Here is a 27,485-nt window from a genome sequence, read left to right as displayed (position 1 = left end):
TGGGAAAACTGGATATCCATATGCAAAAGAGTGAAACTAGACCTCTGTCTCACTCCATCTAAAAAATAAAATCAAAATGGGTTAGGGACATAAATATAATACATAAACCATGAAACTACTGCAGAAAAACATTAGAAAAACTCTCTGGGACATTGGACCTAGCAAAGATTTCTTGAGCAAAACCCAAAAGCACAGACAACTAAAGCATAAATGGACAAACGGGATTAAAAAAGCTTCTGCCCAGCAAAGGAACCCATCAATAAAGTGACGAGACAACCCATGGAACAGAAAAAAAATATTTGCAAACTACCCATCTGACAAGATGTTAATAACCAGAATACATAAAGATCTCAAACAACTCAACAGGAAAATTTCTAATAATCCAATTTAAAAATGGGAAAAAGATCTGAATAGACATTTATTATAAGAAGACATACAAATGGCAAACAGGCATATGAAATGGTCCTCAACATCACTGATTATCAGAGAAATGCAAACCCAAAGTGCAATGAGGTATCATCTCACCCCACTTAAAACAACTTTTGTCCAAAGACAAGCAATAACAAACGCCTGTGAATGTGCAGAGAAAAGGGATCCCTTGTACACTGTTGGTAGGAACATAGATAAGGACAACCACTATGGAGAACATTACGGAGTTTCTTAAAAATCTAAAAATAAGCTAAAATATGATCCAGCAATCCCACTGCTAGGTATATGCCACACAAAAAAAAATCAGTAAATCAAATACATATCTGCACTTCCATGTATATTGCACTACTACTCACAATAGCCAAGATTTGCAAGCAACCTACATGTCCATTCTCAGAAGAATGGATAAAAAACATTTGGTACATATAAGAACTAGAGTACTATTCATGCATTAAAAAGAATGAGATTCTGTCATTTTCCACAACATGGATGAAACTGGGGGATATAATGCTATGTGAAAAAAGCCAGGCAGACAAAGACAAACTTTGCATCTTCTCACTCATTTGTGAGAGCTAAAAATTAAAACAATTGAATTCATGGAGACAGAGAGTAGACTGATGGTTACCAGAAACTTGGAAGAGTAGTGAGGGAAGTGGGGATGGTTACTGAGTACAAAAATATAATTAGGTAGAATGAATAAGGTCTAGCATTTGATAGCACAACAGTGTGATTCCAGTCACCAATAATTTATTTTACATTTTAAAATAACTAAAAAATTATAGTTAAAATGTTTGTAACATAAAGAAAAGATAAATACTTGAGGAAATCAATACCTCATTTACCATGATGTGATTATTATACTTTGTTTGGCTATATCAAAACATCTCATGTACCCCATAAAGTTATACACATACTATATATCCATAAAGATTAAAAATAAAGACATAAACACACAATGTATTCCATATTATTATAAAGAAATTGAGGAGAAAATATAATCTCTTATGTTTACTAAGACATATAATATTTTTTATTCTATTTTTCTTGCACATCAGTATTCCAAATGATAATGTTGCTCTTTAGCTTGATGAATGCCCTTATTCATTTCTCAGATTTCATCACTGCTGCCAAAAAATCTTCAACTTTTATTTTTGAGCACTTTATAGTCTCCTGATTTTTGAAAGATAATTTCATTAACTACAAAATTGAAATCTATTTGAGTTTTTCTAAGTAATGGTAAGAACAATTAACATAATATCTCCATTATTAACAAAATCTTAATCTTAGGTGTATAATATAGTATTGTTATCTATAAGCATTATATTATACATTAGATCTCCAGAACTTACTCATTTTGCATAACTAATATTTTATATTCATTAAATAGCAACTTTTATTTTCTCCACTCTCCAGGCCCTGACAACCACTACAAACCAATTTTCATAGGTTTAACAAGTTATGGATGCAAATATAATTATAATTAAACATTATTCAGGCTGTACTTTAATGCTCTTTGTTCTAGTCACATGACACTAGATATTGACCATTTATATCTCCAATTTTCTATAGATAGGATTTCTGACCTTAGGATCATAAGGGTTTTTTTTTAAGATAGGATCTCTGACTGTAGAATCATAAGGCTTTTATTTGAAAATTGCTTTAGATGTTTTTCAGAACCTCAGTTCCAGCAAAACAGCTGACATAAAACAGTTTGAAGACTTCTGCAGAGGAAGAAAATCAGTATGAGAATAAAGTTTCTTGATCTCTTTGTTCCAAGACTTCGCTCTGCACTCTCGTGCCGATGAACAATCTCCACACTTTGGTCTACTCCAAAACTCTTAACTGCCCTTATCCCAAACTCTTCAGGGAGACAGATTTGAGGTTTCCTCCAATTTTCTCATTTTGGTTGTAATTAAACCTCTTTCTTTGCTGCAATCCAGTGTCTAGGCGTATCAACTTGAGGTGCACATTGGGCAATGGACCTATTATAGTAGCAACTATTTTCCTTATCCATTAATTCATCCATGGACAATTAGGGCATTTCCATATCTTGGATACTGTGAATATGCTGCAGCAAATGTAAAAGTGCAAATTTTTTTGAAATATTGATTTCAAATTTTTTGATAAATACCCAGAAATGAGATTTCTAGATTGTATTGTAGTTTTACTTGTAACTTTTTATTGAATTTCCATATTGGATTTACCATTTTACATTCCCACAAACAGTGTACCAGGGTTTCAATTTTTCCAAATTCTCACAAACACTTATCTTTTTTTGTTTTTAATAGTCATCCTAACAGATGGGAGGTGACATCTAATTGTGGCTTTAGTTTTGATTTTCATTTCCCTGATGCTTAGTGTTGTTGAATATATTTTTATACACATCTTGGCCATTTGTCAGTTTTGTTGGAGAAATGTCTGTTCCAATTCTTTGCCCATTTTTAATCAGTTATTTGTCTAGTTTTGTTTTTGCCATTGAGTTATAGGAATGTCTTACATACTTTGAAACTGGGCAGTAATGGATATAAACTGGAGAATTTTACTAGGAAGAAGCCTACACTGATGTTAAAAGCACATTAAAGGAAATTCTGTTGAAGTCACAGAAGAAAACAGGAGGATGTAGAGAAAGTCTTATCCTTTTCAGAGAATACTAAAGTGGTCATAACAGACTATAGATAGAAACTTGGATAGAAAAGGCCATTCTGATGAGGTCTCAGGTGGAAATCAGTACATTATTATACAATGGATGAAATGGCATCTTTATTATAAAATAGCAAAGAACTTGGCTGAATTTCATTCATGTCCTAGTGTTTTGTAGAAGCTAGAACTTGTGAGTCATAAAATTGGATATATGGTTGAGGAATTGTCTAAGCAAATAGATATGCTCCTATTGGTCATTCAAGATAAACAGCCCTGAGTAGTAAGAAAAAGCTTTCTAGGTGAATGGTTTATCATATTCTTAGTTCTCTCACAGAATGAAAGATTTTAGCAGAAAAAAATAGGTTTTTATGCAAACATTGAGAAGAAGCTGGCAAAAGAAATTTCTTACCTTCATAGGATCCCATACACCATTAAAGGTAAACAGTCCTGAGTAGTAAGAAGAAGTTTCCTACCTGAATGGTGCATTACATTGAGTGTTCTCCCAACAAATGGAAGATTTTCATTTAAAATGGAATTTGTAGGCAGACATTCAGAAGAACAAGTTTCTTACCCCCATAGAGTCCTATAGCCCTATAGTCCTATAAGGTTCAAAGCCCTGAGGAGTACGAAGAAGATTCCCAGACAATCAATGTATCATATTCTGTGTTCCTTCGCAGAATGAAAGATTTACTTCACTGAAAATGAAGTTCTGTTCCTCTTGACTGCTTATAGTAAAATGCAAGAAGAGAGAAATGAATTAAAGATGAAATTGTTAATCAGAAGAGAAGCAGAACTTAAAAACTGAGAAAATGCTCAATCTTTACCTACTGGAAAAAAATAAGAAAGCCTTTTTGGGAGACAATAGGGGTGAGGCCAAGTGACATTATGATAATGAGTTTCGTATGGATTGACCATCTCAATGGAAGCCAGATGTTATTCATCCAGATATGGGAAGACTTGTCAGCATCTAAATAGAAACCAGGATCTAATGTCCAAGACAATGGAAGAATGACCTGAAAACATTTTGGAGATCATCAGGACTATCCCTCCTATCAGAGTCCCAGAATGCTAGAGCCTACAGGGTAGAATGATTTCAAAAGAGACACTGCTGCCCAGAACTGCTTTGCATTATAGGATCCATTTCCTGCACTCTGGCACCATTCTGCTTGGCTGCCCCAAGTGCAGCTCTGGCAGGACCTCATGTGGCGTGCACCGCATTCAGCAAAACTGTGGGAACATGGTTGCCTCCACTACATTTCAAAGGATGCACTGGGGAGCTGTGGGGCCCAGACTGGGAATCACCACAAGGGGAGGGCCACCACAAAAAGTCTCCACTAAAGCAATGCCCAACAGGGCCATAGGGACAGGGGTGACTCTGAAAACTCAGACCAGAAGAGCCACCAGCATGTGACTCCATGAAAACCGTGGCATAAGCTGCACCCAGCAAAGCCATAGGGGTTGGGCTTCCCAAAGACAGGTGCCAGACAACACTTCACAGGTGGGACCATTGCCTCACTTGGTCCTGAAAGAAGGACCTCTGTCCCAGTGGGCATGGAAGGCAGAGCATCAAGTCCACGCAGATTATTCTCAAACCTTAAGGGTTTGGATTTGCTCAGGATCTCTAACTTCCTTCTTCTTTCCTATTTCTTCTTTTTGGAATAGGAATATCTATCCTATGTTTGTTCCTTCATTGTATTTTAGAACCATAGAATATGTTTGATGTAACAGGTTCATATCTGGAGAGTCATTTGCCTTGGAATGAATTATACATTGAATCTCATCCATATCTGATGATATGGTATGTGATATGGTATATGATATCTGAAGGAGATACTGGATTTAGATTTTAAAATTGAGGCTGGACTCTGTTAAGACTTATGAAGTTATCTCTCTGTTTTTTTTTTTTACTGTGATGGTGAATTTGATGGATCAATCTCATGGGTCATGGGGTGCCAAGATTAAACATTAATTCTGAGAGAGTTGGTGACTGTTTTTCTGGATGATATTAGGATTTGAATCAGTGGACTAAAGAAAGTAGATTGCCTTCTCTAATGAGGAAAGGCATCATCCAATTTGCTGAGGATCTGAAAAGAACAAAAGGCAGAGGAAGGGGGAATTTACCCCCTTTTTTCTCTGTTTTACCGCTTAAGCCTAGACATCTCATCTCATTTTTTTCCCTCACGCTGGTATTTCTATCATTGGCTTCCCTTATTCTCAGGTCTTCTGAATCAGACTGAATTACACCATCTTTCTTGGGTCTCCAGTTCGCAGAGAGCAGATCATGGAACATAACTTAGAACACAAACAATGACTTATGACATCGTTATTAAACTGAAGAACCAAAATATTGCCAAAGCATTAGAGACAGATGGTTATCCCCTACTCTTCTGTTTTCCATGAGGAGGAAATTTCCTTAAAAACTCTTGACTTACCCACTCACTTTCAAATTCTCTCAAGGGAGAAAAATAACTTCTCAAGATGGCATAATTTTGAAAAAGTATTGGAATCTTTCTTGTCAGATAGATAAAGGCAGATAAATAAACCATTCTTGCCAGGGTCCTCACTGAAGACAGCACACACTTTTCCTCTGCTTCTCCTTGCCTTAAATTTTACAAGGCAGCATCCCATGGGAGGCCAATGATAGTGAGCAACTAGATAAATACACCTATTTCAAGGATGCAATATTAGGAGTCAAATCATCACCAATCTGTGAAACAATGTTCTTCAACATCAGCTACATCATTTACTCCCAATTGGTTTTAAACTTGGAAAGGGAAGTGAGAAATTCTTCAAACCCCACCATTAAACAATAAGCTTTAAACTAGTAAGGGGCAGAGATATGATTTAAACAACAATCTGAATAATTCTACATGCTTATTTCAAGGAAAAGAATTTTTTAGAAAAGAATTTTTTAAATAAGAATTCAGGACAAATATCTTAATGTCTCTCTCAAACTTACTGCAAGGTCATCTTGTATGTTAGAATCATGGGCCTTTGCTATAGCATCCCTTTCAAACTCACAGGAGAAAATAAAAGGAATAGAGAGGATGAAAAGGGCAATGAATAATCACGGAGAAAAAAAGTGGCTTATTTATTTTGCCTACCTCTCATTATCCATGTATCTCCCACCATTACAGAGATCCAAACATAAAGATTCTGAGCTACAATAATCTTGGCCTCTAATGCACCAATGCTCACAAGTCAATTCAGTGAAAATTTGCAGCACACATATTGCGTGGTAGGTATGGTGCTAAGTCCTGGGGATTTAACAAAAGCCCTTTAATTGTCCATAAAGTAAAGGCAGATAGACAACCTTTAACTGACTTTCCCCAGGCCTTGTATCTATGGTGCAAGTAGAAGTCTCATTAACTGGAACATATTGGATCCCTCTGATTCATTCTTTCTTTTGTGTTCCGGCAGACCTCTAGATCTCCCTTAAAAGATTTTGGGAAATTTAGTGATCTCCATGTGATTTCACCATCACTCATCTCATGCACTTCCCAATGTCAGAAATGAGAGTGTGAATTCTCTGCTTAGGTTTTGTTTTCTGATGTTCCCCAAAGTTGCAGGTGTGTGAGATACCAAATGACCAAATGAAATGGCATTCATCAGTTTACAGAAATCGGGAGAATTATTTCTTCTTTACTTTGTACCACACCATCACCTACACTCTGAAGCAAAACTCATCACTCAAAGTCTGGGCTATGTTCCTTCCCCTCTTCCCTCTCCATCTCCAATCATTTAAACTGTCATCACTCTTTTGTCTGCAAAGCTTAGTGCTAGTAATTACAATTGAACTGGGGATAAATGCCATGGTTGCACATGTTTGTTTTTGGTTTTGGTTTTCATTCTCATGAATTCCAGGTACTAAATGCAGGTTTCTCCTCAGCAAATTCTAGTCCTATAATGAATTACCTCATGCAAATAAATGACTAGATAATTTGGATTTCACCACCCTCATCAGATACTATAATGTGAAACTTTGTACAATCTTATATAGAATGACTACCAAAAAAAAATAGGAAGATACAGGGCTCAGAATTATTCTTATTCCACCTGGAGATCTAGAGATACATGTAAACCTGAAGATCCAAATATATCAGTCTTTATTATTTGCTACTTTAGGCTCCATGTCATTGGAAAGTTGAAATAGGTCAGGAGATGAGAGGAAATTCTGGATTAGCTTGCAAGTACCACGATCATGTTTTCAAGTGACCATAGTGGGGAAGGTGCACCATAGATAAAGGGGATTTGGGGAGAACATCAACACATCTAACAATATGAGTTATAGACATATTTTAGCACAATAGATATAGGTTTGATTTATCTGCTTTAGTGACCAGTAGTATTTCATTATGTGAATTAACCAAAATGATCATTCCTAATGAGCATTTCAATTGTTTCTATATTTTATCATTATAAAAATAAATATAATCAACAACAATAAACATTTTTAAATGTTTGACCATTTTTCTCCATGTAAATTATCAGAGATACGACAGCTAGTGAAAGATTATGTACAATTACACTCAGAAACATAATGCTAACTCATTTTGCCTATATTTTCATTTATGTTTCAATGCAGTGAACTTTCAGTGATAGGGCTAATTATCCTTGTCAAGATATAATCTCATGACACCAATAGTATTTTGCAAGATAATTAATAACTATACTTTTGGATAATATAATATTAGGACTAAAATTATAAAAATTGTTAAAAATTTTAATCAACTGACCTTTTTTGTAACTTTACTAACAAAACTTTAAAACTATTTTTTGAGAAAATTGAGAATCTAGATTAAAAAACAATATTTCTAGTATAAACTAGAATTTTAATTTGATAAAATATAAAACTTAACTTGTGATTTGCCCTTTTCTATTTTAAGATACTTTATTTTCATTTTTCCCTTTGACTTACTGTGTTATTAGCCCAATTATCATGGCCTTTGTGGCTTTGCTGCTCAATAGAGTAGTATAAAATGCTGACATGGTTATTATTAACTAAATATGCCCTTATGGATATATAAACAAACAAAATACAAATTATGTGAATTTGGATGTGTATTTTAACCCAGTTAAAATTATGTCATTCCACTGGTGCTAAAGCCCATGAAGCTAGTGCCTTGGGCAGTGCCAAAGGGGCTGAAAAATGGTGTAGATTCCTCCAGGAGAATTTGAGCTTCTTATGGCCTGGCCTTACCATTAGTTTTCTCTCTGGCTAAGTATAATGTCAGCTGAAGAAAGCTTCAGGATCGAGATAGGAAGTCAGACAACTTCCATGCCCAGGAGAGTTAACAGTTAATGCTATTCAGTATGAAATATTATGTGTATTTTATGCACTCACGAAATGCATCTATTTTCTAATTCTACATTTTATGAGGTATATAGGACAATTATTTTCATCTTCACTTTATCATGTTTTTGGTAGCAGTCTCGTACATTTCTGACTTATAATTTTCGGTCTCGTTTGTCAGATTCTCTAGTTCTGCACTGACCAGCCTGTCTCATAAATATTACTGCCTATAAAAAATCAGTCAGCAAACATTTATTGGTCCTAGGGTGATAAAATATATATAATACGTAACCCCATGGAATAAGAAGTAAACTCTGGTGAGGGAGGGAGGTAATTGAGCAGCATGACAGAAGTATGTACAAGGTGTTTTTATAAGCCGTGGTACATAGCCTTTGGATAGTGGAAACATGAGGAAGTACTTTTTGTGGGAGATATTGTCTAAGCCAATTCTTTAAGGATGGGCAGAATTTGTCAGTCAGGGTGTGAAATGTTTTTAAAACAGAATAAAAAGCAGATACAAAGGCATGAAAATGTGAAGCAGAAAGGTATAAGAGAAGGCCAAGCATTTGTACAACCAGTGTAAAGTATAAGGCTGAGACTTAAAATGCAGCTGGTATTTTTGTTGGTTCTAGACCTTTGAAGGGTATTGTGTAACACAGAAGATTTTTAAGCTGTGACTACTATTGTTATTTTCATTTTAAACAAATCACGTGGTCAAGTTATTATGAACAATAGATTGGAGCAGAAAATCTTAATGAGGATAAACTACTATAATCAGATAATTATAAAAGTTAAACCTAGCTATTTTAAGAATCTGAACAAGGGTGTTAACATTATAGTAGACATGGGAGGGTAAATTTGAGAAATGTTTGGAAGGTGAAATCAAAAGGACTAAGTTAAATGATTGTATGTGGAAGTAATAGAAAAAAGGTATAGTGAGAGAGATATTAAAAAATTGAAAATACAACTCAGAATTTCTATGGTCCTCCTGCTTCTGGAACAATGTGTAAAACATGCCAATTTCTTCTGATTTTTTGTCCACATTGTATTCACCTCAAATACTAAACAGTATGTTAACCTGCAAATTGGACAGTGAAATATGTTGTGACATTGAAATATAAATTCAATCTTAAAATATCCATATGCCCTTCAAATGCCTTTTTCTCTGCTTCTCCCTACTAGTTAGTGTCCCACCACCTTCTCAGTCTAAAAGTTAAACTGAGAAAAATGAGAGGGTAAAAATAATCAAGAAGCCAGGGCTTGAACTGAACACCAAGATCTATAGGTGCTACCACCTAAATATGTCTAGACTTGACTCTCATATTGACTTCCACTATTAGTGCCCTGTTCAGATTACTTGACTTATTATAATGGTATCCTAACTTATCTTCTTGCCTACATTTCATCCCTTCTATTAAATCTTGCAAATTGTGGCTGGAATAACTTTTCTAAAGTGTAGGTATGGCATCGTGCTTGTGGTAAAACCCTTGAATCTCCTAACATTTACATAACTAAAACATTGTGTTCACATCCAACATCTAATGGATATCACCTAAACTCTTTAAACTAAGTATATAAGATTCTTGGTAATCTAGTCCCCATATGTATCTCAAATCTTACACTCTTTCTCCAAATTTGGCAAATCACATAAAAGTAATCCAAAGTATATTTGGGTTTCTCATATCTTTCATGCCACAATGGAACTCCATATACATGGAAATGTTGCTCATTTTGTCATGAAAGTCCTCCCCAACATCTCCATCCTTTTAGTCTCTAATAAGTGTTCAATGTTTTCTTTACATATTTAGATGAAGCATCCCTTTTCTGTGACAGATTTTCACATTCTCTCACCCCTCAAGCAAAATTAAGCACATTCTACCTTGTGCAGTATTGTATCCTTCAGATCCCTCTATTATAGCACTCACCAAAAAGAATTGCAAGTGTATTTATACATACATCTCTAGGAGGTGGAGAACATCCTACAGTGAGAACTATGTCTTTACCTTTGTAATAACATCACCTAAAAGAGGGCTTATCTCATAGGTAGGATTTAAAAGCTGTTAGTTTAATGAATGATTATACAACTAACAAACAATTCATCTTGGTATAATTTACAAAGTGGCCAAGAATATAGTCATCTACATTGTGTTGGTGTGTAACAACTGTCATGTTGAAAAAATAACCCGTCATTTTTTTTGTGGATGATCATTTTAAGTCTCCTTGACAGACTACTTGTATTTCTAGGGATCTGAGATCTGAGACTTTATAAACCAATTAACTCTCTATACAAGGTTGTAATGATCTATGATCCCATCAAGTAAATACATAAAAAATTTGTGTGTGTAAGTGTACATGTTTAAACCTCACCTAGTCATACACTTTAAACTTTTTTTACTAAAATAGGATCACAATTTATTTGAACTAATCCATAAAATCCAGATAGTTTGAGCACTATAATCATTGGCAAGGGGAATATTTACGCAAATCTAGTCTCAGAAAAAGCTCTGTAGATTTCTTAGCTCTCTAAGATTTACATAAAAGTGAATCATGGGCTACATATAAAAAGTAGTATGCACCCACAGACACATTTATTAATACACACCTGTTTAGAAAAGTAAAGCAGTTTTAGTATATTTCAGTGAAACATATTCAGTGAAACATATTCAGAGAATAAACACCCCTTCCTCAGGAAATATTCAATAATTAAATTTCTCTGAGTCAAAACAAAAGGACAATATTTTTAGTGAGTATTAAGAATATGAAGCTAATTTTCCAACCTGTATTTACTCTATAGTAATATATTTTGCATATTTTTCAGACATATTTTTTAATGTTTACGTGTTTTCTTAAACTCTGGAAATAGAACAATTGTCACTTTTCAACAAGTGCCTGTTATTTCACCCTTATCTATTTTATATTTTATGCCCTAAGATGGTAAATAAATAAAAAAATAGTGCTGATAAACTCTTTGAATACTGAGCTGCAAATCTATCATCTGAAATGAATAAATGTAACTGTCATGACTAGAGCATATATAGCTATAAAATCTATATTAACTGTTCACTTAGAAATGTGATTATTGATAGTTTGGGCTATGTAGATTTCTGATTTGTACTAACGTTTTTGATACATAATGGTACCTTTGTTACCGTGGAGGGTTTTGGCTACGAGTTGTCCAGGTTTTTGGTGTTTTGAATAAAAAACTGGACAAAATGCACAAATAAAGCATTAAAGAATGAAGCAAGGACAGCACAGATGGATTGAAACAAAAGTGCACTCCACAAAGTGGAAGCGGGCTTGAGCAAATGGCTCAAGAGCACTGGTTACAGAATTTTCTGGGGTTTAAATACCCACTGGAGGTTTCCCATTAGTTATGTGGCTTATACCATATGTAAATGAAGTAGTAGCTTGCAACCAGTCTGATTGGCTGTGGGAGGCAATAAATCAAAGGCTGAATTGAAATTACAAAGTTATACATGAAGACTTGGCCTGCCACCAGTCTGATTGGTTGTGGGAGGGGACCAATTAGAGGTACTTTCTTTTTTTATCTGCAATGCAGAAATGGGGGGTCAGCGGGGTTAGTTGCAAAGGGAGCAGCTTCTGTTCTTTTGTTACTTGGGCATGGAAAATTGGGTTTTTTTTTTTTATTTAGTTCTAGGAAGTCAGTGTGAATTGGCCTTAGGTTCCCTGCCTCCACAACCTATTCTCCTGCCTCATTTCCCCCAGAGAGATGTGATTCCCATAAATCTTTATGGGAGGCAGAGGGACCAACAGTCTTTCTTCTGTAACTACTTTATGCTGACTTGTGGCACGGTCCATACCTATTGAGGATCACAGAACCCTTGCCTTGACAGTAGTTTCTTGATGGCTGGGAGTGGTGTCTACACCTGGAACTGGCTGGAAACCTTGTTGCATGATTATCTGAAGTTTGATTGTCTCTAGATGAGAGGAAATGAATTTGGTTAAAAGAGTTAACAAACATGGTCCAAAACCAAGGCAAGTGTAATAATTAATGATGGGCTGGCCAACGGAAGGAGCCACGAACCCCAAGTTAGCATTTTTGACCATGAGCCCCATGACTTGGACAGCTGTTGTCATATCTTAGAGACCCAATCGGCTACTTTTTGGGTGGCATCTCTTGCTCATCCTGATTAGTTGACACAAAAACAGCATTATTCCTCTAGAAAAAGACATAAGCCAACTTTTTCAGCAGTTAGGAGATCCAGTCCCCTTCTATTTGTCAAAGTGACGGCTGCCAAGGAGTCTCTTTGATTTTTTTAAGTAACAATACTTTGGACAATGTCATCCTAGCTTTCCATAAAAATCCTTGGACATGCACTGATAATAGGATAGGGAAGTTGCAAGTCCACTAACTCCCATTCCTACTCCTGCTGTTATTCCTAGCCCTACCAAAAGCGGTATGAGTTGGATGGCTCATTTGTGTCTGGTGGTTGAAGTTAAAGGTATAATGAGAGATTGGTTATTGGCAGCTATATTGATTTCGGGGGCTAAATAAACACATGTACAGGTTCCAGTCCAATTGACTGCAAAACTACACAGGAACTAGTTACACAGAGAAAAAATGTTACTTATTTTTCAAGCCAAAAAATTTCTCTATGGTGAACATGTGGGTTAGAATGTTGTTTGCACTTTTCTGAGTGGTTAAGTTCCCTGCTAAGGTGGTGTATTAGTCCATTTTCATGCTGTTGATAAAAACATAACCGAGACTGGGAAGAAAAAGAGGTTTAATTGGACTTAAAATTCCACATACTCCACATGGTTGGGGAGGCCTCAGAATCATGGCAGGAGGTGAAAGGCACTTCTTACATGGCAGAGACAAAAGAAAATGAGGAAGATGCAAAAGTGGAAACCCCTGATAAAACCATCTGATCTTGTGAGACTTATTCAGTACCTCGAGAAGAATATGGGGGAAACCACCTCCATGATTCAAATTATCTCCCACCAGGTCCCTCCCACAATATGTGGGAATTATGGGAGTTCAAGATGGAATTTGGATGGGTATACTGAGCCAAATCATATCATTCCACCCTTCCACCCCTGGCCCCTCCAAATCTCATGTCCTCACATTTCAAAACCAATCATGCTTTCCCAACAATCCCCCAAAGTCTTAATTCATTTCAGCATTAACCCAAAAGCCCACAGTCAAAAGTATCATCTGAGACAAGACAAGTCCCTTCCACCTATGAGCCTGTAAGATCAAAATCAAGCTAGTTATTTCCTAGATACAATGGAGGTACAGGTATTGGGTAATACAGCTATTCCAAATGGGAGAAATTGGCCAAAACAAAGGGGTTAGAGGGCCCATGCAAGTCTGAAATGCAGCAGGGGAGTCAAATGATCTCCTTTGACTCCGTGTCTCACGTCCAGGTCACACTGATGCAAGAGGTAGGTTCCCATGGTCTTGGGCAGTTCCACTCCTGTGGCTTTGCAGGGTATAACCCCCTCCTGGCTGCTTTCACAGGCTTACATTGAGTGTCTGCAGCTTTTCCAGGTGCACAGTGCAAGCTATTGGTGCATCTATCATTCTGGGGTCTGGAGGACGGTGGACCTCTTCTCACACCTACACTAGGTGATGCCCCAGTAGGGACTCTGTGTGGGGGTTCCAACCCCACATTTCCCTTCTGCATTGCCCTAGCGGAGGTTCTCCATGAGAGCCTCGCCCCTGCAGCAAACTTTTGCCTGGGCATCCAGGTGTTTCCACACGTCTTCTAAAAATCTAGGTAGAGGTTCCCAAACTTCAATTCTTGACTTCCCTGTACCTGCAGGCTCAACATCAAGTGGAAGCTGCCAAGGTTTGGGGCTTGCACCGTCTGAAACCATAGGCCAAAGCTGTATCTTGGTGCCTTTTAGCAATGGCTGGAGCAGCTGGGACACTGGGCACCAAGTTCCTAGGCTGCACATAGCATGGGGACTCTGGGCCTGGCCCAGGAAACCACTTTTTCCTCCTAGGCTTCTGGGTCTGTGATGAGAGGGGCTGCCTGGAAGACCTATGACATGCCCTGGAGACATTTTCTCCATTGTCTTGGGGATTAACATTCAGCTCCTTGTTACTTATGCAAATTTCTGCAGCCACCCTGAATTTCTCCTCAAAAAAATGAGTTTTTCTTTTCTTCTGCACCATCAGGCTGCAAATTTTCTGAACTTTTATGCTCTGTTTCCCTTTTAAAATGGAATGCTTTTAACAGCATTCAAGTCACTTATTGAACACTTTGCTGCTTAGAAATTTCTTCTGCCAGTCACCCTAATTCATCTCTCTCAACTTCAAAGTTCCACAAATCTCTAGGGCAGGGGCAAAATCCTGCCAGTCTCTTTGCTAAAACGTAACAAGAGTCACCTTTGCTCCAGTTCCCAACAAGTTCCTCATCTCCATCTGGGATGACCTCAGCCTGGACCTTACTGTTCATATCACTGCCAGCATTTTTTCAAAGCCCTTCAGCAAATCTCTAGGAGGTTCCAAACTTTCCCACATTTTCCTGTCTTGTTCTGAGTCCTCCAAACTGTTTCAACCTCTGCCTTTTACCTAGTTCCAAAGTCACTTCCACATTTTTGGATATCTTTTCAGCAACACCCCACTCTTCTGATACCAATTTACTGCATTAGTCTACTTTCATGTTGCTGATAAAGACATACCTGAGACTGGGAAGAAAAAGAGGTGTAATGGACTTACAGTTCCACATGGCTGGGGTGGCCTCAGAATCATGGCAGGAGGTGAAAGGAACTTCTTACATGGCAGAGGCAAGGGTAAAATGAGAAGATGCAATAGTGGAAACCCCTGATAAACCCATCAGATCTCATGAAATTTATTCACTACCATGAGAACAGTATGGGGGTAACTGCCCCCATGATTCAAATTATCTCCCACTGGGTCCCTCCCACAATATGTGGGAATTATGGGAGTACAATTCAAGATGGGTTTTGGGTGTGGACACAGAGTCAAACCATATCAGGTGGCCAAGGGAAAATGTGAACACAGCTAGTGGGCCTACCTTGACAGTACTTAGACTGTGTCTTCCTTACAGTGCCCTTATCTAGGGATGGTTTCCATGAAAAATGTATAGGTTTTCTAAATGACGCAGTTTGGGTAACTGCATAGCTTACATCTCTAAGGTGTAGAGATACATTGATGACTTTTCAAGCTTCCCAGGACATAAACAGAATTTTAGCTTCCCTTAATACAAAGTAGCACCTGGAATTTTAGCTCTGTAAATGTTGATATTGGGCCCGAAATGGGTTTCTTTGGGGATGCAACCCCAGAAAGGTGCTCTGGTAGGACTGGAGAAGGTTTGCTGTTCATCCTGTCATTGTAGGTCATTTTTTTTTCAAGGGACGAAAATCAGGTTGGAATTGGGATGGCAATGTATTTGGATGATGATGGAGATAAACAAAGCCAACAGTTCTTTGCCAGAGCTGAGCTGGTGGTATTTAACAATCTTTGCATTAAATTTAAAGTTCTTAATAAATATTCAGAATCCATTAATTGCCTGAGGGGTAAAGTGAAAGTCTGTTGTAAAATTAACCTGATTCCCAGTATGCGTGGTCCCGGTATACACAGTCTGTGGGTGGCCTTATGGAACGAAAAAATTTACTTATTTGTTATTTTGTTCTATAGAGTGGGAACTTCAAGGGGTGGATACTTAGGCTGTCAGGAATGCTTGTTACAAAAATGAAGTAAAACATTTTGCTTAATTAGTACAAAGGAAGTGATTCCATCTGTTTGGAAGAAGGCAATTAAATTGTAAAAATAAAAAATGGCTACTATTATCTAGCTTACAGTAACTATGTAACAAAGACCCCAAGGAAAGTTGACAGGCATTTATCTTTTGGCTCTCTTTTTGAATAGGTACTTCAAGTCAGGTTCACAGGTGTGGTGGCTGATGGGAGCTTCAGGTTCCAGGTCCAGGGCTTCAGGTATCAGAGGCTTGACCCTGGAAAGATGTACCCAACTATCTAATCCTAGTAATTTGACTGCAGAAGGCACGGCCGGTACCAATGAAAATGGTTCCTTCCATTTGGATTGTAACTGTTGAGCAGGTGATCCCTCCTTCCGTGTACTTTTCCCTTTGCCTGATTTTAGGTTGCTAGTTAGTTCCTGGTTTCTGGAGGCTTTGCGTTCCAAACTTTTGTATAGCCTGCTGAAATTGTCCCAGGTCAACTAGGTATTTTACTAAACTGGCTGTTTCTGGATCAGTAATTAGATCATTAGATAAAAATGTCCTTCCATATAACATTTTGTATGGGCTTATATTAATTTTTGCTCCAGGGAAATTACAGATCCTTAAGAGGACTATGGGCAGTAAGCTAAGCCAAGTTTCTGATGTTTCCTGACATAGCTCAACCAGTGCCCTTTTTATAGTTTGATTAACACTTTCTACTTTCCCAGAGGATTGAGATCTTCATACTAAGTGCAAATAATATTTGATTCCAAAAGCCTTAGCAACCCCTTGAATTATTTGGGAGACAAAAGTTTGATCATTATCACTTTGGAGGCTTTGGGGTAACCCAAACCAGGGGATTATTTCCTTTAAAAGAACCTATATAACTTCATTAGCCTTCTGTGTTCTGGTAGGGTAAAGTTCAACGCAGCCAGTAAAGGTGTCAATTGATACTAGCAAAAACTTGTATCCTTTACAAGCTGGCATATGGGTGAAGTCTAATTGCCGGTCTTCCCCTTTAACTTTAGCCAATGTGTTCACACACAAAATCCCTTTTACAATTAATTTTTCATAAACCTTCCACAATGTGTTCAAATGTTTAGGTTTTTCCTATCTCACTTAAACCCTTTAACTTTCTAAACTTAGAACTTTTGAAAACTGAGATATTAGACACCATCATTTAAAGTTAGTTATTTCTTTGTTAACTGTTTTTTAATAGCCAGTGAACATCATACACTCATCCAAACAACAGCCTCAAAGTTAAATACATAAGCATTTTTGCCAATAACTCAGAAGATTCAGCTAACAACATTAAATTAGTCTCATTTGTCAAAGAAGATACACAAATCAAGACCATTTTGTTTTGGCTGGGTTAATAGCTTTATAACCTTCTATGCCAAACACTGACACCTCAAAACATCTAGCAAAGACAAATATAAAACCCAGACAAAAATGTATGCTGACAATTATAAAGACATTTCTATTTTTATTTCACCAATAATTTTAAAGCCAGCTTGTTTAATAAAGATTTACTTATGTCACATGAACTTGAAAATTGCTGGGACTTATTTACTTAATTTATGAGTGCTCCTTTATTTATAAATCAATTTGGTAGACACAGCATATAACATAATAAATGTACATACACATAAACACACCTAGAAATGTATACACACACAAATAAGAATCCAATAGCTTTCACCTTGGAACTCTAGCCATGAGGTAGCAATACAATCTCACTGGTTTTACATGGTTACATTGTGTTGGCCCCAATAAGTAACCCAATGAAAGCTGTGAACCAAAATTTTAGGTAAAGCAGTTTCCATGGCAGTTTGATTTTTAAATTCTGAAGAACACTGGGGCCATACAATACCAAAGGAGAGCATCACATGTTAACCAGGTCAAACCCAGCTTAGAACAGCAGCACAAAAGCCTGGATACATGCAACTCCATTCCACTTCCCCATTTAGCAGCAAACTTCAGATTCCAAACAATAGTGAGGCCAAACAGTATTGCAAAAGAATATCAAGCATTTCCTCCTTGAAATATCAGGGTCAAATTGGATTATCAGGGTCAAATTGAGTCTAATGGTTGAGGATGTAGCCAAGTGGGAAGTCGGGTGGAATAGATGGAGTGTTTCCCATTATCATCTGAAAGAAAGAGAAAAGTCCAGGGCTTAGTACTGGACCTCAGAATCTCTGCCTAGTACATCCTATTTAGAGAGGTTAAGGTCTGGAGTTGGATCCCCTAGGGCATCCCCCTTTAGGGTCCAATCTTAGAGTATCGGATGCCTCTGACCTTAGGTGGGCACTGGTGCCACTTTGTATGCTTTTCCTCCAGAGGCAATGGCCTACTATGAGCTTTCCTTTTGTTCCTGGGTGTGTAATCCCCAACTTTTAGCATACCACCAATTTAGATAGGCCATATCTTCCTGTATTCCTCATGGGACTAAGGGGATTCCCAAACATTGCAATGTTAACAGTACCAAGATTGGTGGGGTGTTCTAAGGAAGGGCCCAGGGGTAAATTGAAGATTGTGGTTGAGAATTTCTATGGGGTTCAAGGTAAGCAAGTGGATGTGTAAGCAATGCCCATCAAGCTATGGGGTCCCCTTAGTGGAGGTCCAAAATATAGAAGTATTCTAAAGTTTACGGGTTCCAAAGGTCCTCAGTCAGTCAAATAGATTGATTAGGAGAAGGGAGGTCAAAACACCTAAGGGACATTATATTTTGCCCTTACAGGTTAACTCTACGGAAAATTTTGCAAATCACCTGAAACATGTGTAAGTTTACCCTGGACGAGCTGCTGCTACTAATTTCATTACACGTAGAGATCAGGGACTACAACCGGAAAATACAAAAAAGAGTCCTTCCCCTTATGGGCAGGGCAACCATCCCCATTCACTCCTTGGCCTTCAGGTAACACCAGAGAGTGGCCCAGGAAAGTCATCCTCAATTACCAGGACTCAAGTCTCTCACCCAAACCAGGCAGTGGTGGTCAGGTGCTAACACACGGAAATCTTTCAGTTTCACCGTAGAGCAGCCTCTGCCAGATACCTGCAGCTGCCTCCATGCTTAGGTGCTATCTGCCAAGGGTCCCGAGTTGGAAAGGGAAAAAGAGAGAGAGACAGAGGGAGAACAGGGCTCCTCTATATACAGCAAAGAAGAAAAGGAAAAAAACAGAGAGAGAGAAGAAAAATAAATCCCAAACTTGGGGCTTACCTCCTTGCTGGCTCACCAAAATATGTTACTGGCGCATGGTCTTGACTACAAGTTGTCCAGGTTCTTGGCATTTTAAACAAAGAATAGGCACAGTGCACAAAGCAATGAACAAATGAAGCAAGTAAAGCACGGATGTATTGAAATGAAAGTGCACTTCACAGAATGGGAGTGGGCTTGAGCAAGCGGCTCAAGAGCACTGGTTACAGAATTCTAAGGGTTAAATACCCTCTAGAGGTTTCCCATTGGTTACTTCATTTACACCTTATGTAAATGAAGTAGTGGCCCATAACAAGTCTGATTGTCTCCCACAACCCAATCAGAAGCTGAATTGAAGTTACAAAGTTACACATGAAGACTTGGCCTACCATCAGTCCTGGTTGCAGGAGGGGACCAATAAAAGGTACTTTCATTTTTCATCTGCAACACAGAAAAGGGGGAGGGGGCAGTTGCAAAGGGAGCAACCTCTGTTCTTTTGTTACTTGGGCATGGAAAGTTGGGGTTTTCCTTTTGATTTAGTTCTAAGAAGTCAGTGTGAATTGGCCTTAGGTTCCCTGCCTTTAGACCCTATTCTCCTGCCTCGCTTTGTCTTATATTTTATCTGTCTCTGTCATAACAAGTATACTCATCAATATTAACAAGTTGATTGTATAAGTTTGGATATAATTCACCCCATTTTGTTTCTATAATACTATCCCAAGTTATTTTCCTCCCTGTAGTCATCATAGCAAGTTCATTTCTTTCCTCCTGGTACTTGTAAACAGGCTTTTGCAATACTTACTACTCATTTACTTCCTATTAGCATTTGCTATTTGTCTTTTTTAAAAAAATCTTCACTCAATTCTTATGCATCCACATTTGGTGTGCAACTCTAGAACTTAGAATATGTTTTTTGGAAAAGTTAAAAATGTAGTTTACTGAAAGATATGTGTTTCACACAGAGCAATAGCAAACAATCCAATCTTAAAGTTTACATAAACATAAATAACTTCAAAACTAACTATATATATACACACACATATGTATATATTTTTATGTGTGTGTGTGTGAAGCTGAAGTCACTGACTTGGATAACTTTATCCTGCATCCAATATTTTGCACAGGACATTCATTCTTAAGGCAGAAAAATTAAATTTGACAGGCAAATGACTTGGTCAAAGTGGGAGTATACTGGAACAGACAAATTTCTTGCTAATGAGGATTTATCTGTGGTGACAATTTCATTCTTAGAGTATGCTATATAAGAAACACATTTGAGAGAACATAAAAATATAAATTTTTAAGACACATGAATATGATTTTTCAACAAGAGTTCAGAGAGACTAGGCATTCTATTATGAAGTGAAGTGATGCCCATAACAAACTAACAAACTCCAACATACTTTTTCTGATATGGTACATAAAGAGTATAAAATATCAAATTACATTTTTGGGGGTATATTACTTTAGACTGTAGATTCCAAGGTCTAGTATAAAAAGTATCCTGGATAGTTAAAAGCAGTTGAATGTCAACTCCTACTGTTACTTAGAAGGCTATCACTTAGGATAGTCTTACACCACCAACAAAACCCTGTTCAGAGAAGAAATAAATGTGTACTAAAATAAAAATGAAGCCCTTCCTGCAACATATGTACAAAAACACTTCTTAATTACTAACAAACAAAAAACATATTAACTGTAGAATGAAGAGCATCGGAGCTAGAGAGATGTAAGAACATACCGCCCTGCCTAGATGGATCAATGAACATATGGGATGAAACCAGCAGTTCTATGGGCACCCTGGGAGATGTCCTATTCAGAATGGGAGACCTTGGCATTTTTAAATACTGCCCAAAGACTTAATCAAATCTTGGATCTTGAAGTTAGAGTCTGTCCTTGTATTTTAAAACTCTTCACACAATGAAAAAGCCACACTGGCTGGGTGCAGTGGCTCACGCCTGTAATCCCAGCACTTTGGGTGGCTGAGGGAGGTGGATCACCAGAGGTCAGGAGTTCAAGACCAGCCTAGCCAACATGGCAAAATCCTGTCTCTACTAATAATAATAATAATAAAAAAAGCTGGGCACGGTGGTGGGCACCTGTAGTCCCAGCTACCTGGGAGGCTAAGGAAGGATAATCACTTGAACTCAAGAGGTGGAGGTTGCAATGAGCCAAGTTCGCACCATTGCACTCCAGCCTGGGTGACAGAGTGAGACTCTGTCTCAAAAATAAAAGGAAGGAAGGAAGGAAGGAAGGAAGGAAGGAAGGAAAGAAAGAGAAAGAAAGAAAGAAAAGAAAGGAAGGAAGGAAGGAAGGGAGAAAAAGTCACACTGATTATTTTTGTAATCTTAATATTTTCTCTCTTCTTCTCTTATCAATTTTCTTTCATATTTTCTATTTACAGTAATAAAAACATCTCAGAACAACACTCATTATTTTTTTTTTCCTCTGGAATCTCTGCACTATTCTTAGTCTGTGACCAAATAGTTTCTCTATGTTCGACACCTCCATTCCCAGTATCACCTCCACCTTTTTTATTTTCAGTTTTTGAGGTTTATTATCACCTTTTCTGACACATTATTTTTGAAAAGTCTTTCATTTCTCTACAAAATTCCACCAGAAGTTCTAGAATATTTCAAAAATAATAAATTTACATTATAGATAGTAATTAAACCATAGTAACCACAGATTTTCTTAATTGTGATCCATATAAAGAGACAAGTGAATTAAAACCATTATTTACATGTAAATACAATTGTATATAACAAAAATATAATTAGAATTCAGAAGGAAAAGTGTAAGGTTTCCTATGTTGTATATATTTACAAATTAAGCCTTTGGGTTTCTAGTTCAGCATTTAAAGAGCTTGGAAGTCACCATTCTTTCTTAGCAACAAGTAAAAAGCTGAAAAAACTGAAAAATCAACAGCTCTTCCTAGATCTGGCAGAGAAATGAGGTCACAGGACAAAATATTGCTTCCCAAATGTAAAAGACAGACATGTAAATACTTCTGATAAGTTGAGTTAAGAGGATTCCAGTTTACCAAAGCAGAAACCATAGAGCATCGCTCCATGCAGGAGCCAGTCTCAAGGGAGAAAAACGTGACTGGTAATTGATGAATTCTTACTGTGGACAACTCTGATAGTCAAAAACTCTACAGAAACCCAGTCATATAGAGGCCCTCACACTTTGTGAGTTTTACCTCTAGGAGCTCTACCAGGTCCTCACAATAAATATCAAAGAAAAATCCTCTCATGCCTTCAGCACCAAAAAAAAAAGGGGAAAAAATTTTGGAATGTGTCAGAACATTCTGTTCTACTTAACAAGGTCTACCCTTATTAGAAACTATTTTACCAGGGCCCAAAGTATTGAGGTTTTATCAGAGACTAACTTACCTGGGGGAAGAAAAATGCCCAACTCTAGCCCCTTTTGGCCATTTGATCCCACCTAATGGCCAGGAGTGGAATCAGAGTTGAGATCGCGAAACAGGGTAATATTCACAACCTGGAGGTACATGCATACCAAAAGACCGAGGCCAAATTATGCAACTATATAATGTTTCCCCTCCCCTACACCTGGCCTTCAAATCATTAAAGGCCTATTTACTGGAGTTCCTTTTACCCAGTACATCGTGTCTATCTTGCAACATAAAATTATAAAGCATAACAAAAGAAAAAAAAACGAGTTTGAAGAGACTGAACAAGTATCAGAGCCAGTTAAAAGTGACAGGAATGTTGGAATTATCAGATCAGAAAATAAAAATAAACTATTATTAATATGTTAATGATTTTAATGGGAAAATTAGACCACATGTCAGAACAATGAATAATGTAAGCAGAGAGATAAAAATTCTAAGAAATAATTACAAACAGATACTAGAGATCAAAAACACTGTAACAGAAATAAAGAATATGTTTGATCTGCTCATTGAGTAGACTGGATGCAGCTGAAGAAAGAGTCTGAAAGCTTGACAATATGATAGTAGAAACTTCCAAATATGAAAGAAAAAACAGAGAGGGAGAGAAAGAAGAACAAAAAAAAAGGTAACAGAATGGTCAAGAACCATGAGACAACTACAAAGGATGTAGCACGTTTAGTGATAATAACAGAGGAAGAAAGACAGAAATAGAAATATCTGAAGTAATAATGAGTGAGGATTTTCTCCAAATTAATTTCAGACACCAATCCACATATCCAGGAAGTTCAGAGAAAAACAAGCAGTATAAATCACACATACACACACACACACACACACACACACAAACTCTGAATCTAGGCATATTGTATTCAAATTTCAGAAAGTCAAAGATAAGAAAAAGTGTTGAAGAAAGCCAAATGGAAAAAAAAAACCACACATTATCTACATAGAAGCAGAAATAAGAATTACATCCAACTTCTCCACAGAAACCATGCCAGAAAGAAGAGACTAGAGTGAAATATTTAAAGTTTGTAAAGAAAAAAATAAACCAACCTAGAATTATGTACCCTACAAAATTTTTTTAAGTGAAAGAGAGGGCCAGGCATGATGGCTCACGCCTGTAATTCTAGCACTTTGGGAGGTCAAGGCAGGTAGATTGCTTGAGCCCAGGAGGTTGAGACCAGCCTGGACAACATGGTGAAACCCCATCTCTACAAAAAATCACCCAGGCACGGTGGTGTGCACATGCAGTCCTGGCTACTCAGGAGGCCGAGGTGAGAGGATCACTGTAGCCTGGGTGGTCAAGGCTGCAGTGAGCCATTATCATGCCACTGCACTCCAGCCTGAGTGACAGAATGAGACCTTGTCCAAAAGAAAAAAAGAAGTAGTGAAGGCAAAACTAAGACTTTCTTAAACAGAAATTGCTGAAATTTGTTGCCTTGCAGGAAATGTTAAAAAAAAGTTCTTCAGAGAGAAGGAAAATGATACAGCTCAGAAATTCAGATCTACATAAACAACCCAACAGCTTAGAGAAGAAGTAAACGAAGGTAAAACAAAAATTTCTATTTCTTATTCTTAATTGACCTAACAGATAACAGTTTGTTCAAAATAGTAATAGCAATAATATATTTGATTATATATACATATATAATGCTTATGTATACTGAATAACAGCAACAATAGAAGAATTTGGAGGAATTAATTAGGAATACTTTATTTTTATGATGTACTTGTGCCACCCCTTAAGCAGCATAGTGTTAGGTGACAGTGCACTTGGATTTGTTGTAAATGTATATTGCAAACTCTGGGACAACCAGTAGCAAAATTAAAAAGAGAAGAAAAACTGATATGCTTGAAAATGAGCAAAAATTGAATAATATAAAATGCTCAATTGAGACCACAATAAGCAGAAAATGTGCAGAGACAAAAATAGAAACAAAGAACAAGAGCAACAATTAGAAAACAGTAACAAATATAGTGGATATTCATCTAACTATATTAATACATCACTTTAAATATTAATTGTCTAAATGAGCTAATTAAAGGAAAGTGCCAGAGTTTATTTAAAAAAGAGACAAAACTGTATGTTGTTACAACAAACCGATTTTAAATACAAAAACACATACATTAAAAGTAAAGATACAGAGAAAGATCTATGATACTAACATTAATCAAAAGACAGCAGGAGTATTTATACTAATTTCAGACAGAGCAGGCTTCAGAGTGAGGAAAGTTTTGAGGAATAGGTGAAGACATTAAATGTTGATAAATGTGACAATTCTCCAAGGAGACATAACAATCCTTAACGTGTATGTACCTAACAATAGAGCATCAAAATACATGAGGCAAAACCTGATAGTATTGCAAGGCCAAATAGATGAACCCCTTATTATAGTTGGAGACTTTAACACACCTATATTAAAATGGACTAATCTAGCTGACAGAAAATCAGTAAGGACATCATTGACTTTAGCATCACCACCGATCAATTGGATATAATTGGCATCTATGGGCTACCTCATCAAACAACAGCAGATTGCACATTCATCTCAAGCTCATATAGAACATTCACCAAGATAAACAAAAATCTGGGTCATTTAAAAGAATAAAAATTAAACAGTGTATGCTTTCAAAACATAATAGAATCAAACTAGAAATGAATTACAGAAAGATAACTAGAAAATCCCAAAATATTTGATATTAAGCAACATGACTCTAAATAACACAGAGATCAAGAGGAAATCTCAAGCAACTGTTAAAAATATTTTAACTTAATATAAAAATACAACTTATCAAACCCTGTGGGATGCATCAAAAGAAGTACTTAGAAGGAAATCATAGCATTGAATGCATATATTAGGATAGAAGAAAGATCTAAAATCAATAGCCTAAGCTTTCACCTTAAGAAACTAAAAAAAAAAAAAAGAACAATTTAAATACAAAGCAGAAAAAAAAATAACAAAAACAAATATAGCAGAAATCAGTGAAACTAAAAACAAGAAATTAGTTGAGGAAAACCAAAACCAAAGCTCATTCTTCAAAATGATCAATAGAATTAATAAGCCTCTAACCAGTCTAGCCAAGAAAAAACAAAAAGACACAAATTACTCATATTAAAAAGAAAAGAGGGATATTCCTACAGATCCCACTGACATTTAAAAGATTATAAAGGAATATAATGAACAACTATATGCTCATGAATTTGATAATGTATAAAATGGACCAATTCCTTGAAAGCCAGTGTGCCAAGTTTCACACAAGAAGAAATAAACAAACTGAATTAACCTATATCCATTAAATGAGTTGAATCAATAATTATATATCTAAAAGAAAATAAATAATTCTTCCAAAAAGATACATGCACTTGTATGTTCATCACAGCACTATTCACAATAGCAAAGACATGGAATTAACCTAGGTGCCCATCAATACTGAATTGAATAAAGAAAATTTGATATATATACACCATGAATACTACACAGCCAAAAGAATGAAATTATGTCTTTTGCAGCAAAACGGATGTAGCTGCAGGCTATTAACCTAAGTGAATTAACACAGGAGTAGAAAACCAAATACCACATGTTCTCACTTGTAAGTGAAAACTAAACATTGGGTATTCACGGGCATAAAAATGGCAACAATCAATACTAGGGACTACTAGATGAGAAAGGGAATGCAAGAGTTTAGAAAGTAACTGTTGGGTACTATGCTCACTACCTTGGTGACGGTATTGATTATACCCCAAACCTCACATCATGCAATATACTCATGTAACAAACTTGCATATGTACCATCTGAATCAAAAATAAAAGTTGAAATTATTTTAAAAATTAATCTTTCAAAGCAGAAAGCACAAAATATATATGTATATATACGTAGCAGTTGTCTTTCACAAAATAGAAGCAGAGGAAATACTTCCTAATTCATACCATGAGGCCAGCATCACCCTGATACCAAAGCCAGACAAAGACATTACAAGAAAACTACAGACCAATATATTGTATAATCATGGGTGCAGAAATCGCCACAAAATATATCATATAAAATCTAGTAATGTATAAAAAATCTATACACCATGGCTAAGTGGAATTTATCTCATGTATGCAAGGTTGGTCCAGCATTTGAAATTCAGTCAGTGTAATTTATCACATCTACAAACCTAATGAAAATATCACAAGATCATATAAATAAATGCAGAAAAAGTATTTGACTGAAATCCAACACCTACTCATGTTAAAAGCTCTTTAAAAACTAGACATAAAGGGAAATTCCCTCAACTTGATAAAGAATATCTACAAAAACAAACAAACAAAAAACCTACAGCTAACATTATACTTAAATAGTGAGAAACTCAAAACTTTCCTGCTAAGATCAGAAACAAGGCAAGAACGTTCTCTTGCCACTGCTTTTCAACATTGTATTAGATGGTCTAGGTAATGCAATAAGACAAAAAAAGTGATACAGATTGGGAAGGAAGAAATAAAACTGTCTTGTTTGTAGATGACATGATAATCTATATAGAAAATCTGAAAGAACTGACCAAGCAACAACAACAAAAAACTGCTGGAACTAATAAGCAATCTTAGCAATGGTACAGCATACAAGGTTAATATGCAAAAGTCAATATTTTTGTGTAAACAACAACAATTATCAAGTGGAATTTAAAACTAAAAACACATTTCCATTTATATTTGTGCCCCATATATAAAATATTTAGGTGTAAGTCTAACAAAATGTGTGCAAGGTATACATAAGGAAAACTACAACATTTGGTTGAAAGGTAGCAAAGAAAAAATAAATAAATAGAGTCATAGTTCATGTTCAGGAATAGGAAGA

At 36.6% G+C, this 27,485-nt stretch overlaps 1 long non-coding RNA gene across 3 annotated transcripts in view; it reads right to left on the bottom strand.

The window, feature by feature from the left end:
• The window catches only part of LINC02503 (long intergenic non-protein coding RNA 2503), a 75,942-nt gene that overhangs the window by 46,845 nt on the left and 1,612 nt on the right, over positions 1-27,485 (bottom strand). The window contains exons 2-3 of one of the 3 annotated variants that reach the window (NR_186772.1): positions 19,621-19,672; positions 12,184-12,300 (exon numbers count right to left, since the gene is read on the bottom strand). The exons of 1 other annotated variant lie outside the window; for it this stretch is intronic. This is a non-coding gene — a long non-coding RNA (long intergenic non-protein coding RNA 2503). The remainder of the gene's footprint in view (positions 1-12,183; positions 12,301-19,620; positions 19,673-27,485) is intronic. One more of the 3 variants, NR_186770.1, reaches the window with a different exon arrangement.

Source organism: Homo sapiens, chromosome 4 (assembly GCF_000001405.40).
Source record: "Homo sapiens chromosome 4, GRCh38.p14 Primary Assembly".
NCBI classification, from domain to species: Eukaryota; Metazoa; Chordata; class Mammalia; order Primates; family Hominidae; genus Homo; species Homo sapiens.
Note: the sequence above shows the minus strand (reverse complement) of the source record. Positions and strands in the feature narration are given on the sequence as shown.